Source organism: Homo sapiens, chromosome 9 (genome assembly GCF_000001405.40).
Source record: "Homo sapiens chromosome 9, GRCh38.p14 Primary Assembly".
Taxonomy (NCBI): Eukaryota; Metazoa; Chordata; class Mammalia; order Primates; family Hominidae; genus Homo; species Homo sapiens.
In genome coordinates this window covers 28,857,811-28,873,213 of record NC_000009.12, presented here as the reverse complement: position 1 = coordinate 28,873,213, position 15,403 = coordinate 28,857,811, and the positions used below count along the sequence as shown (strand labels likewise).

Sequence of the window (15,403 nt, the reverse complement as noted above, 5' to 3'; positions counted from 1 at the left end):
TATTTTTAGTAGAGACGAGGTTTCACCATGCTGGCCAGGCTGATTTTGAACTCCTGACCTCAAGTGATCCGCCCACCTCGGCCTCCCAAAGGATTACAGTGTGAGCCACCAAATCTGGCCAGAAATAGTTTTCTTACTAGTAGAGAATGTTGATCTGTCATGTGATAAAAGTAAACAAAAGATTATCTAATTTTGGCTACTGAATTTTCATAGATATTAAATATGGATTATGTTTAACTGATTTATTTTCTTTGTCATTGCAAATGGAATCCTAATCCTCAGGTAGAAGAATCATCATTTGATTTTCAATTAAAATGATTTTTATTGCTCAACGATTTTTCCAGTTAATGTAATTGTCTTATTTCTACCTTTTGGGAAAATCTTCCTGGTTTTGCATAGATGTTATCAAGTAGAAAACAAAGTGCACCTCTCTAGTAGCAAGATTGTAGGTGCAGAACTTTAAGCTACATAGTGTTAGCTATGAAATACTCTTAATACATCTAAGAACTGTTGATGAACAAAGTACCTATTTAATCAAAACAATATGGTTATGATCACCTGCCAGAAAATGTGTTGTTTGTTTACTGGAGAGGAATTTTTGTGCATATCCCCTTGGAAGCATGTACCAAACTTGATGGAATCTTTTTGCCATGAACAGCTAGTGAAACAACTGATTCAGAAATTGTAACAGAGTGAACACTGTCAAGAATTTGCCATCACATCTAAAATTATAATCTATTTTCACTGTTTCTCAAAAGATAACTTCATTTAATTTTGCCCCATTATAGTTTAATTGTTTCCTGCTTGTGAATCTTATCTTTCCTGTTAAATGTCATGTCTTCCACTGTTGTTAATATAATAAGTGAGGACAACTACAATAGTTTGATGTCAAAAAAAAAGGAAATCATTTTTCCTGTAAATGTCCATTTTCTATAGGAGGTGACTTAAATGACACATTTCATGGATCAGTCATTTAAGGAAAGGCTAGAGTTTCTTTTTGGGAATCATTAAAACACAATAGATATTTTATCATGCCCATCATTTTGCTAGCAGGTGTGAAACCTGAGCTAAATGACTTTTGAAGGTTTCTTTCTCTCTAGTTTTATGGTTCTGTGATTTTATGAGTAAAGGCATAAAATTATGATGATTTTGAAGTTTGAGGTTAAAGGCAATATTGCATTATAAATTGAGAGGAAATCAACACATCATTGACTATATTGTGACACTCCCCTCAAGTAAAAGACATCTTGGTGCAAAACTTATTATTAATCTCCAAATAAGGTAGGTTTTATAAAGTAACAGAAGATAAAATAAGGTAGAAATTATTAAGCATCTACTATGAACCAAGCATTTTCAAAACCATAGGAGATAAGTACTAGTATTCATATTTTATATTTAAGAAGGTAAGGCTCCAACATATAAAGTTCACCCAGTTAATGCATCAGAACTGGGATTTGAACCAACGTCTCTCATTCTTTCATGCTTATTTCACTCCTTATGTAGTGTTTTCAGTAGATTGCTCCTTCTACTTGTCATCTTATGTGCTGCAAAGATAAAAACCTCAGAGGTTTGAAGATGCAAATGTAAGCATCATTTGGTTACACTATAGTATAGCTGACAGTGTTCCTAAGCTTAATATTTTTATATATTACATAAAATATATAGTTCATTTTCTTATTTTCTATATTTTAATGCTGAATATATTGTCATATGACTAAGGTAGTAACACAGAGTATATGAAGTAAAATGTTGAAATCTCCTTTCTACTGCCACCATTGCTTTCCCTCCCACTTTCCATTCCTATTTCCTAAAAATAAACATTTTAAAGAAGTTGGTATGTGTGTTCTAGAGTGTTTTCTATATGCATATATATTTTCAATGAGCTTATATTATGAATATTGTTCTATTGTTTAATTTCATTTTCAATTAGCAGATTATTATGGCCACATTTTCATATAGATTTGCTGTATTTTAAAGTATTTATATATTATTTAAATATAATTTAGGCTTACCTCATTATTATATACCTTTAGTATCTACATAGCAATATTGAATTATAATTTATTTAACAATTTCCTTATTTATAAATATTTAAATTGGTTCCCACTTTTAATTCATTAAAAGTTGCCACAATCATCATCTGTCAATATATTTTACTCAAATGTAAACATTTCTGTAGATGTCTAGAAGGAGAATTTTTAGATAAAATTGTGTGTTCATTTTGAAATTTTGACATTTCCTACTATGTAGTACAAAAAAACATGGCAACTTACACTATTATTAATGAAACAAAATTTCTATTTTCTGTCGCCTTTGGCTGATACATGTTTTAATTATTGCCAATCTGATGGAATAAATATCTTGATGCTGTTTTCATTTGCTTTTTTAAAATATAAATTAAGTGAAGCATTTTCCCATACTTGTTGATATTTCTTTAGTACGATTTAAAAGTTCAAATAATTAGTTTACTTTTCTATGGTTTTATGTCCTTTTTTGTTGCTTCTTTTTATGCTTTTACTTATGATTGCTATAGACACCAAGTACGGTATATAAGCTGCAAATATTTTCTCCACATCAGGTATTTTTCTGTTCCAGATGACTAAGGCACAGTTTATGACCTCAGAAGGTCAAAGAATTGGAAGACAGATAAACGTATAAACCAATACACATGAATAGAAAATACTATACTAGCAGTAGGAACATTGGTCTGTGGGGTCCTGATAGAAGCTATAACCTCTGTATGGGGAGTCAGAGAATGTTTCACAGTGGACGTTATATTGGAGCTGTGTCTAAGATTGAACAAGAATTTTCTAGGAGGAGAAATGCAAGAAGTACATAAAGTCATTTTATGTTCACAATCATGAAGTTATATGTTTAGGTTAGAGTGGGAAGTACAGGTGGACTGGAAGATGACACACATGGGGTGGAATGGAAAAAAATAATGTTGTGCAGTTCGATTGTTGTCAGATCGTAATAAACTTTGTGGATTTTATGAAAAAGCAGTGCCTCGAAAATGAGGTATTTAAGCAGAGGATTACAAATATCAGGTATGGTTTAGAGAAAATGAGTAAAAATTGTGTACCATTTCAATGAACTGGCCATGTGTCTACAAATGGGAAAATAAAGTAACAAATCCTTCAAAGAGTGAAGGAGGGACTCAATATAAATGCATGTTATGGGTTTTTTTTTTCTGATTCTGAAGTGTTTTTAGCTTTACTGTTAATACTTTTATTTATCAGGTATAATAACGTTGGCTTTGAACATTGACTGATGTGTCCTTTCCTTTAAAGACATTTTTATGTAAGGGGAGGGAAGAATCGAAAGGCAGGGTAGGGTGTAAAACGAGCCCATAGGGTACTGAATCTTGGTGGGAAATTGGGAAAAGGGTGCTATGTTTATTATTTGTAGTAGGTGCAACAGTGGGAGTTGCAGTGTTGAAGGAGACATTGTTGTCCAAAATCACCTATTGATTTTTGACCTATTGATCACCTATTGATTTTGGACCTATTGATCACCTCTTGATCTGTGGGCTCCTTGAAGACAGGGACTAGCCATTTCTCATGCATCTTGTGTCTTCTTCCTCAGGCTCTGTCTACCACACAGTTCAAACCACTGGACTTTTAGCTAATTTTCATCTTTTTTCTTCCTGCTTGCTATTTCTCTGTCATACATAATTTAACATGTAGTTCCTAATTCAGACACATTGTCTCTTGAATTTCGCAAGTACTGTTTTCTTTATCTGGAATAGCCTTCTTTCTGTGACCCCTCCCCCCACTCCTTGTTCATCCTCTGGTCACCTGGTCAAATACTTTTAAACCCTCTATAGAAGTCAGGCTTCGTCTCTTTTGAAAAGACCTTTCTTATTGTCTAATTCTGATTAGCCACTTCTTCTGTAGGATCCTACACTTGTCCGTCATTACAGTTATGGCTGTACTGGAAATATTTGCAGATTTGTCAGTTTACCTGATGACTCTGAGCTCCCTGAAGGATGGAACATTAAGTATTCCCTTTGATTCTTCAATGTCTAGCCTAGTTTTTCCCTCATAGTAGGGGCTCAAAACATCTTTGATGAATGGATAATTAGATGTTTATCAAATTTAAACTAAATTTGAATTCAGTGTTCTAACTATGCCTGATCTTTGGCAGTGATAAATATGTATTTAATAAGTATATCATTTATTTTTATCCCATATTTAACAAATAGTCCTGAGCTAAAAGCAGGCCTGGAAATTTGTTATATTATCAAATCAGCGAGATATAAATTCCATCAAATATATCAGTAAATGATAATTGTGTATATAGTCACTTAAATATTGCAAATGTTGTGAGTTGGGGGCTTAAATAATATATTCCACTACTTTCTATCTTCATCTGCAAAACCACAGTGCTAAGCTTAATTTTCAGTTGCAAAATTTAATCTTTGAGGTTTGGAACAAACTCAACCCACAGGAACCAAATTATGTTTGCAGTTACTCAGCTGAACTGCTGTTCCAAATATAAGATTTTCATTAATGAGAGAAATAATAAGCACTGAAAGTTTACATGTTTTTAAAATGCTTATTTGTTTTCTGTTCTCTCATTCCCTTTCCAAAGGGGCACTCATTTATTCTCTTCAAATAACTAAACAATTAAATTTACCTACAAAACACTGGACTATTATGTGGACAGATTTGAAGTAGGATGAGTTATCTCTCAGATGACAGAAAATTACCCATGATGCCACTTTCGAAAGGCATCAATCTTGAAGCAGGGAGAACAAAAGAGAAAACATACACACATAACCACATGCATGCAGACACACACACATGCTCACTCACTCACTCACTATTCTATGTAGTCTCTGAGTAAATGTAGAGGTCCACTTTATAAACTGGATCTCTAGATATTACTGCTTAGACAAATGATCTTTGACAGTGAACTAAACCCTTCAATGACTGAAAAATACTTCCTGGAGTATAAAATCAAATGTCATCAATGAGGACTTATTCACAGAAAGGCATATTCAGCTGAAGGCAAATAAGTCATAGTATACTTCTGAAGGCAGGAGACTTTATTAAGTGTAAGCAAAGTTAACGACACACACTAGGTTAACAACATTCTTCCAAGCCTCTAGGGATCACCTATAATGAGTAAGAAAGGAAAGATTTGTAATTGAGATATTATCTATTTTTGTATAAATGGATATTTTACATAAAATCCTGAAAACTTTGTCTTAAGTAAACTGGATGCTTTTACAAAATGTTTAAGTATTATTAATATGTTTTATTATTTTTGGGTAAAAGAATTGTTTCATTGTAGGGCAAATGTATATTTGATTCTGTGTAAAATTTATAATTCAAACTTTATGTTTTTACCTAATTTTCTTTTCTCTATATATTTCACAAACACTATAGGTAATGTTGCATACTGGGACGTTATGGGGCAAAGACAAAACATGAGCTTTTAGACAAATCTAGCTCTGTTATTTAAACATTTGTTTAACCTTGGACAGATTACACTTTTTTGTGTGCCTCAACTGCCACGTGTTGAAGGCAGGGATTATGTGTTGTCTGTTGTCAGAAATCAGAAATAAATGAAGTAATACACATGCTTTATGGGTGCTTGATAATGAAAGTTTTTCTTTTTAAAAAATAGTTAAAATTCCAATAACTTTGTGATTCTCTGTAATTTATGGCAAATGTTTACATTGGTGCAGTAGGGGTAAGAGTTTGTCTTCTTTTTTTTTTTTTCTTTACTTGAAAGACATAGAGCCTGCCACATATTTAGCTCAGCTATGGCTAGCACTTGCTTATTATTGTTAGCAATCACTTGCTTTTATACCCTGACTTGCATTGTTTATTTTCAATATTTCAGGGCAAAAGAGAGATTTTATGAGAAAAGGGAGAAAAAAATAACCAGTAGGAGGATTGTATTTACTGTATATGCATTTTTCATTTCCTGTTCTATTTTTATTTTGTATTATTTTACTTGCTCTACTATTTTCATTCTTTTTAGCTTTCATCACCAGGAAAGGATGCAGGCTTCCTTCTGAACTTGCCTTCCCACTCAGTTTACCAGCAGCATTTGTCATATTAGTGGTGTGATTTAGCCCTTAACTGCAGATTCCTCTGTCAGTTCTGCAGCTGTTTTACTTCCTGTCACCAGCAGTAGTTATTTTAAATAGAGCTGATATTATGGCCTGTATTTTGATATTATCTCTACCTTATTTGTTTTATTTCAGTTTTCTTGCTTGTGTGGGTTGAAAAATGTAAGATACAAGATTCTAAGAAATAAGGATGAATCTAGAAAATAAACTATAGTACAGAATAAATTTCTGTTTATACTTTTGAATCAGAACTAAGTTACTCACTTTAAGACCCCACCAACGACGTCTGTCCTCTAATAAACCTGATGCCTAGTTGGAGCCCAATTAAAAAGAATTCTCCATTAGCTGGAATTTACCCCCCGGTGATAGAAGAGTAAGAGAATAAAGTTAATTATATGAATTCATGCTCACATTAGTGATTTTCACACTAACAGCACTCAGAATTTTTTGGCAAAAGCAAAAATATCAATCTACTTCATATCCTGTAACTGCCTGCAATGTACCATATTGTGTAGCACTTAAGTCTAATTCACACCACCCTTCTTCTCTGCCCTGGGTGCCCTGGGTGTTGGCCTTCCTCCTCTCTGCAGCCTTAGAACTTGGAAAATATTCCTTTCATAGCATTGATTATAGGGTTTATGCTATAGTTCCTAATTGCAGATTCAGAATCACTTTGTATGCCCCGTGGTACTCTGAATTCCTTTGGGGTTAGGGACCTTATTTTTCAAATCACAAGCATAGATGGAATAACTGATGCACGGTTATTAACAGAGATGTTGACCACAAGTAGAAAATGACACAGGGGTTCTGGATAACCTTAAAAAAATACAATAAAGCATTCAATATGGTAATTCATTATAAAATAACTGCCTATTTTTGAAGTTAAATAGTGCAAGAGTTTGAAAAAATGGTGTTTTCTAATAATCAGTGCACCGGAAAATTAGTTCAACCAGAACATTTCATTCTCAGTGCATATCATTTATCTACTTATATAAAATAGAGAGCATATTTGACAGAAAATGTGGGAAAATTTTCTAAATTAGCTGAATGCTGTCTAAAGAGGGACTTGCATGAAGTTTTCTTGCATTCAGATTCACAAACCAAGCAAAGCCAAGTACCCGACTAACATAGAGTGCTACATATGGAGAGCATATTTGTCTTGTTTAGTGAAAGAATAGCAACAAGAGGTATAAAATATTGTAAAAACACACCCTGGATTATTTCACTATTATTATTGGATCAACTTAATTTTACATTTGGATTGGAATGGTTATTCAAAGAGCCACTTAAGATCTCTTTAAGTTGAGATGATTGTTTTTTGTTTCTTTGTTTTGTTTTGTTTTTTGAGACAGAGCCTCTCCCTGTCACCCAGGCTGGAGCGCAGTGGCACGATCTTGGCTCACTGCAACCTCTGCCTCCCGGGTTAAAGACATTCTCCTGTCTCATCCTCCCGAGTAGCTGGGACTACAGGCGCAAGCCACTATGCCCGGCCAATTTCTTGTATTTTTCTAGTAGAGACGGTGTTTCTCCATGTTAGCCAGGATGGTCTCGATCTCCTGACCTCATGATCCTCCCGCCTCGGCCTCTCAAAGTGCTGGGATTACAGACGTGAACCACCACACCCGGCCAGGGTGATTTGTTTTTAAACCCATGTCAAACTCTAAATGTATTCCACCCAACTAGTATGCCTGAATTTCACTGGGGAAACTGGCCTGATTCTTCAAGAGGTTTTGCCTGGGCCAGTTTGGGATTGAGTGTGACACTTGATGAAGAGCTGGAGGACCTTTGTATAACTGCTCCTTTACTCTGCCCATATTTCAGACAGGTTGCCTCATTATTCTGGAGTTCTCTTACTTCAAATTTTTCTGTCCCTGCTGCCTCTGATCTGGTGATGCTCACTTGTGTTCACCTACTCTAACTGTAGCAGCAGTTTTCCTTTTCAGCTATAGTATACCAAAAAATAAAATAAAAATCACGTTATTTCTTTGGATAGGCCGTGGTATATGTGTTCTCTTCTGCTTAGAACACTTACCCCACCCTTCTCATTGCTAATTCCTGCTACTCTTTCAGTTCTCTTATATATGGTATTCCCTTAGAGAAGACATCTGTAATCAACGCTCTTAGCACTGAATTAAGTGGCCTCTCCATGTCTCCATTAGCCCTATATGGAAACTTTTCATAACACCTATTACTGCTTTTTTCAAATTCTTGTTTTCTCCTTTGTATTTCTTGAAACCTGGAGTTTTTATATCCCCAGCATCTAACCAAGACTATGCCTGGCACATGATAAGCGCAAAACAAATATTTTTTTTTCATACATACATATTTTCTACAAATTTTTTATTTAAATATTTTTAATTATTCAGATACTTAGCAAGTTTGGCTTGGTTGTTATATGTGTGGTTGGTGGAGGTGAGTAGGGTATTCCTGAGCAGTGACCTACACTGACAGTGGTGAACTGCCTAGGACTCTTATGTTCATGAGCTTCTATAAAGCAAACTTTTAATTAATGTTGACATTTGATGGTTACTTTGAAAAATGTTGAAATTTTCAAAAGCATGAATTACTTGATTGATATTATGCTTACTAGGCTGGGAAGATTTATAGATTCTTTTCATTAATTATAAATGAAACCTTTCTTTTTGCTCTTTAGATAAAAGTTAAAAGGTGGGATTCTGGTTATTTTGCAAAGGAGAGTAACTTTATTGTTTGTTTTTCATTTTTTATTGGTGTGGTTTTCTTTCAGAGTTGAACCTAATATGTATAATATAGAATTTAGTTTTATAAACATTCTTGGACTTCAGCAGTCATATGAAAAAATACTTACTTGGACAAATATCAGAGGAAAAAACACTCAGGTTAAACTCATTTAATGATTGCCTTTGAACTTTTATTTTAAGTTCAGGGGTACAAGGGCAGATTTGTAACATTGGTAAGCTTGTGTCATAGGATATGAGATTATATGAGTATAAAGTGGGAAGCTAAGTAACTGAGGATATCTTTAGAACAAATTATCCCAGCAACACTTATATACTGTGATATGGATGTGAGAATTACATATAGTTTTATTATTTATTCTACTCCCTACTCCTGACATCTATATTAATAACCATGCCCTTTTATTTTGATGAGCAGAACCCTGTTTTTTCATCCTGCATAATGTCATGCTAGTTATTGTATTAGGAATTCTTTTAAATGAAATTTACTGGTATATAATATAGAAAGCATGCATTTATTTTTAAGTTTTATTTACTTAAAATAAATGTTCAGTGTTTCTTGTGTGTTTCAGCTAAAAGAGGGTGGTGCAAAACTGAGCATATTCTTCAATTGATTGTGAACTAGATGGAAATACTTCCTCAACTTTTGGTGGCCAAAGGGTACTGTTTTTGTTGGTTCATAGGTACCAGGCTTTACACAAACTGTGAAGTGCTGTGGATTTCTTTGTGAATCACCATATCTAAGCTAATGTGGTGGTGGTTTACAAAGTAATTCATAGTGCTTCACAGGTGCTTCTGCAGTTGATCTACACCATGAAGCCTAAGATTCCTTTACTGAGCCATTGAGAACAAGCCACTTTGTATTACAAGACACACAAAGTCAAGAGATCCCTGGTAAATATACTCTAGAATCCTTCTATTTGGTGCTTAGTGTTAACAGTGATCAAACCTGTGTCAAACACACCAGAAATTATGGTTACTTTACCTAAATATACATGTTTTACATAGTTGCTGTCTCTGTCTCTACTGTTCTTTTTTTGAAAAGTAATTTGTAATATTTCTTGGTTAAAAAAACATGATACATCAGAAACATTAATTGAATCAGCCCCTTAAATCCTAAGCATACCATTTTGAAGTTTAAATATCATATTTTATTTGGATTATTATGCCCAATTAATATATTAATTAAATAGTTTGGTAAATGATCAGGGGCTTGAAGACATCATTGTTATGCAGTACTTTTGTAAAAAGCAACATTTTATTTTAACAAGAAAAACATTGGTGTGGGCAAAAAAAATCACCTTAACATACCAAATTGTACATTTTGATGGCATATATTAAAATTAGGTATTCACTGGGCATTCATTTTCATTTACTCTTCTGGAAACAGTATCTATAGTCCTATTCTATGACAGAAAAGATTGTGTAACCTTTACAAGGTCACAAAAGCCTAATTGTTGACTAGTAATTGCTTATTAAAATAAATGGAACTTTGTGGTCATTTCTGTCATCAGGATTACCAAGAATGGATTATCCCTGACCATAAATCAAACAATTGATGATTAACTATTTTAATAACTGATTAAGCTTTCAAATAGTCATTTTGGTTTTACCGTTTTTTATTTATTTCCAAGGCTAGAGCGTAGGTCTTATTTAAGTTCAATGGTATGACTATAAGACTGTCAGAACTATGAAAACTTCTGACCTTTAATTTCTTAAGTGACACATCTGGACACCTAAGTGACAGTGGTACAGGCTTCTGAAATTACTTTTGCATCATCATTGAATATATCTATTGTATTCATTATGACTTTATTTTGTCCTGTTATGTTTCATTCCTTAGAAGTGGATTATGCATATGCTCTATAAGGTTGGGTGACTTTAAATAAATTAGCATACTAATTTTTAAGCCCTTCTGTTAGATAAAAGAAAATCAGTATATTATTTTTCAACATATAAATGACCAAAAGAATGAATCAATATGTATACTTTTAACCTTAAAATATATGTGTATAAATATGATTGGAAATGCTTTACCTAAGAAATATCTTGCTACTCTAATTTAATTTGAACTATGATACAAACATGTTATTCTTATTTCCTAGCCTTTAATTCTTCAGTATTTATTATTACCATTCCTTGTCTGATACATATGTAACCTTATTTTTCATAGGACTGTATGTTCATAAGCAAAATCCACAGAGCTCTGGGATTTCCTGTGCTTTTGTTGGGTGCTACTTTGCTGATGTGTGAGGACAGGTGGGAAAAGAGTCTGAGAAGACAGGTTTCTGAAATTAATTTGTCCTAGAGCTCTTTGATTTTTCTGTTTTATGAAAGGGGGCACCTGTAAAATTTCCTTTGAGCCGAAGCTTATGTTTTTAATGATAATATGTAGAACTGCTGATATATGAATTTAGAAGGAAGTCACAATATTTTTTCTTAAGATAATTTTTAGTTTACGGGAGATATAATGGGATGTGCTAATGGACTAATAAGCATATCTCATAATCATGTACCTATATCCTTGTATCCTAATTTTAATCCCAACTTCTTTATATTTATTTCACTACCGCTTTTTTTATTTTTAAGATAAATACAGGTTTACAAACAATGAATTAATTTTTAGTGTAGGTTTTGTGTTTTTTGGTAAGAGACAAAAAACATATGTTGCCCTGGCTGGGGTGCAGTGGTGCAATCATAGCTCACTTCAGCCTTGATTTCCTGGGTTCAAGCAATCATCCCACTTCAGTCTCCTGAGGAGCTGGGACTACAGTGCCTGCCACCATGCCCAGCTAATTTATTTTATTTTGTTTTATTTTATTTTATTTTATTTTTGTAGCAACACAATCTCACTAGATACTCATGCTTGAGTGCAGTTATGAGTAGAACATGTGTTCAAAGTGAACCTGAGGTCTCCTGTTATGGACAAGGTAATATCAAGCTTCCCTAATTTCTGTGAGAACTATATGAGAATAGATATGTTTAAATGAATGTTATCTGTGAGAATTTTCTAGAGAACAGAACCAACAAGATTTTTGTGTGTATATATATATTAAATATGTATATATATTAATAATATATATTATATATAGTATATTATATAAAATATATAATATATAAAATATATAATATATAAATATTATATATTTTATATAATATTGTATAAAAAATATATATTATATATTTATATAATATTATATAAAAAATATATAATATATAAAATATATTAATATAAATATATTTTATATATTTATATAATATAAATTATATAAAAATTTATATAATTTATATTATATAAATATATTTTATATATTTATATAATTTATATTATATATTTATATATTAATAATACATATTATACATTTATATATTAATAATATGTATTATATAATATATTATATTATATATTAATAAATATAATATATTATAGATTTATATATTAATGATATATAATATATTATATATATTATTTTTTACCTTTTTTTATTTATAAGGCTAGAGCTTAAGTCTTATTTAACTTCAATGCTATGACCACAAGACTGTCAGAACTCTGAAAACTTCTGACCTTTAGTTTCTTAAGTGACACATTTGTACAACTAAGTGACAGTGATACAGACTTCGGAAATTGCTTTTGCATCATCATTGACTATATCTATTGTATTCATTTTGACTGCATTTTGTCCTGTTATGTTTCATTCTTTAGAAGTGGATTATGCATATATATATATATATATGAAATATATATATGACTATACATGACAGATTATATATATGCATCTTTATATATAGAGAGAGAAATAAAGACTATCTATCTATCTATCCATCTATCTATCTTTCTTCTATCTATAGAGAGAGGGATTTATCATAAGTAATTGGCTCACATAATTGTGGAAGCATGGCAAGTCCAAAATCCGATGAGATGGGGCAGCTGTCTGGAGGCTCAGGGCAGATTTGCAGTTCAAGTCCAAGTGCAATCTAATCTTCTGGCAAAATTATTTCAAGCATGGGGAAGGTCAGTCTTTGTCTATTAAGGATTTCAACTTATAGGTGAGGCCTACCCACATTATAGAGGGAAATCTGTTTTATTTCAAAGGGTACCAATTTTGATGTTATTCTCTTCCAAAAATCACCTTCACAAAAATATCTAGCATAATGTCTGACCAAATATCTGGGCACTATGGTGCAGTCACGTTGACAAATAAAATTAATCTTCACAGTAAAAATGGTATTTTTCCAATGAAATAAATTTTTGATTTTCAAACAATAAGTTGGTGTTCTTTGTAAGATTTTCTTAATTATTTTCCACATATTTCTATGGGAATGTGAAATTTAAAATATTTATGTTTTATTTAATTTATTGGAAATTCAATTAGTTTATGAATATTTCTTCAGGGAATACTTCTACTAAAACATTATTGACTTAGAAGAACTGTAGAAATAATTGTAACCTAGTCATGTCTTCAATATTTGAGTTTCATTTTTGTGGAGTTTAAATATTTTTAAATAAATGCATCCTTTTAAAATATTTACTATTACATATTTCTCTTTCACTTTTATGGAATTCTCATTTTATATATTATGTTGTGAAATTACAGTTCCTGGTGTACTGCACGTACCAAAATATATATTTGCTGAATAAGTGAATAAAATTTGAATATTATAATTTTTAAAAATTGATTTGAAGAATGGTAAAATATTCATATTTAAAACATTTTTAACTACTAACATAGTTCCTGATCCTAGCTTTGATTTAAATGAAAAGGTCTCCTAATGCATCTATGATATTCATGGCAAAATTCCAAACAAGTAAAGCAATCATTTTACCTAAAAATTAATGAAGTGACAAAAAATTAGGGAATCACAATAAGATAAATAGATGTCATATCAAATGTGAGTGAAATACTTAGAATAAGGGAAATATTTTGTCTATGAGGAATCTGAGTTTTAAAAAGTTCCAGTTCATTTGAATGCATATTTTTAAAAGTACTTCAATTGAATTACTCAGATTCTGAAGATATTAGCTGCGTACTAATTAGCAGTTAGTAGAATATCAACCTTTTATTTTCATGTGGGTATACTTAAGTGGTGTAACTGAGCAGCACTGTAATCAGTGTCCTAATTTTGTCTTCTTGAGATCCTGTACTTTTACAGCCTGTTCCCCAAATAATAATTAAAGAAGTAAACTAAATCTCTGCAATTTTGCTTTAGAAAATAATATAGCAAACTGTAAGCAGAAAGAATTGGGAAAAGTAAAAAACTTTAAATTCTTGAAAATTACTCTCCTTCAGAAAAACAACTAAGATGTAAAGAGATCTTATTTCCAAGTACTTTACTTGTATCATGACATTTAATTTCTGAGTTGAATATTATTGCTCCATTTTACAGATAAAGGAATGAAAGTGCCCTAACTTCTAAATCTCTGCTGTATATTATGACATAACGATCTGCCTGCAAAACACTCACTAGTCACATTCATGAGGCTTTGCAACACGCAAGGGGAAATTTCAGAGTAATCATAATAAAATCACAAGAGCTACGTTTGGGAAATGTTTACCTTTATTCTCCCTAAAAATCTAAATCATAACCTTCCCATTCAATTCTTTTTTAAAATGCATTATTGCCTGTGAGGAAACTCACTTCTCAGTTTTATCTGGGGTTTATCATGAAATATTTATGTGCTCATTTTGGAAAAGTTTTCTCTAAACAGATATGTCAAGTGGAGGTCTCCTAGGTAGGCAGATGGGTATTTTCATATGAACTAAATGTGTGACTCTGAAGTAACCATTATCCTGATCCAGTGATCTGATCTGATAGTCATCTTTGCAAGCCGGATGAAACCCGCATTTTAGAGCTGCGACGGGGGGACAGAAATGGAGACCTTTGGTGACTAGCAGATAAACAAAGCAGGTATGATATTGGGCTGAAGATGTAAAAGGAAAACAAAAATGAAAATATAGTGGTTATAATGCAGTAAGTTCATTTATCAGACAGTAGAGAAATTAGATCAGTAGTTCTACATTGGGGTCAGGAGCACATATAAAATCTTCCAGGGTGATGGGATTGCATAATTTGAGAAAACTTCCCAAGTGATTCTTAAATGTTCATCTGCCTGACAACCAGTAAACCAGAATCTGTGAAGTCAGAAATCCTAGACACTCTTAGAGAAGAACAAAAGAGATAACCATAAAATCAGTATTAAATAACATAAAGCCAGAGAAGCGAAATCTTTAGGACTCAGATTTTAAAAGCATCATTCTCTTCCTAAAGCAAGGTTACCATGGAAACACCACAGAGGGCAGGTCCTGACAGCCTGAGGGACAAGCTGGAGCTCAGTCCTGAATGTGATACCTGTGTCGAAGAAGATACATTAGAATGTTTGGTAGTGTTTATCCAATGCTAAGAATCCAGAGACCAAATGGGATAGATATCTAGAACAGGGATGTTGAACGGGCCGCATACGATATCTAAATTTTCTATTTTAAATCAACTTCAATTAATTTAAAACATTAAAAAAATTAAAAGAAATAGGTGAAATTAATTTCAATAATATATTTTATGTAATCCAATGTATCCAAAATATATTTTCAACAATCAGTGTAAA

General features: G+C 32.3%; 1 protein-coding gene and 1 non-coding gene across 13 annotated transcripts in view; both read left to right on the top strand.

Moving 5' to 3' along the window:
• LINGO2 (leucine rich repeat and Ig domain containing 2) overlaps positions 1-15,403 on the top strand; it is a 1,275,985-nt gene that overhangs the window by 340,388 nt on the left and 920,194 nt on the right. The gene's annotated exons all lie outside the window — the stretch shown is intronic.
• Positions 9,508-9,588, top strand: MIR876 (microRNA 876). Its single transcript, NR_030597.1, has one exon. It is a non-coding gene; the product is annotated as a microRNA 876 (primary transcript).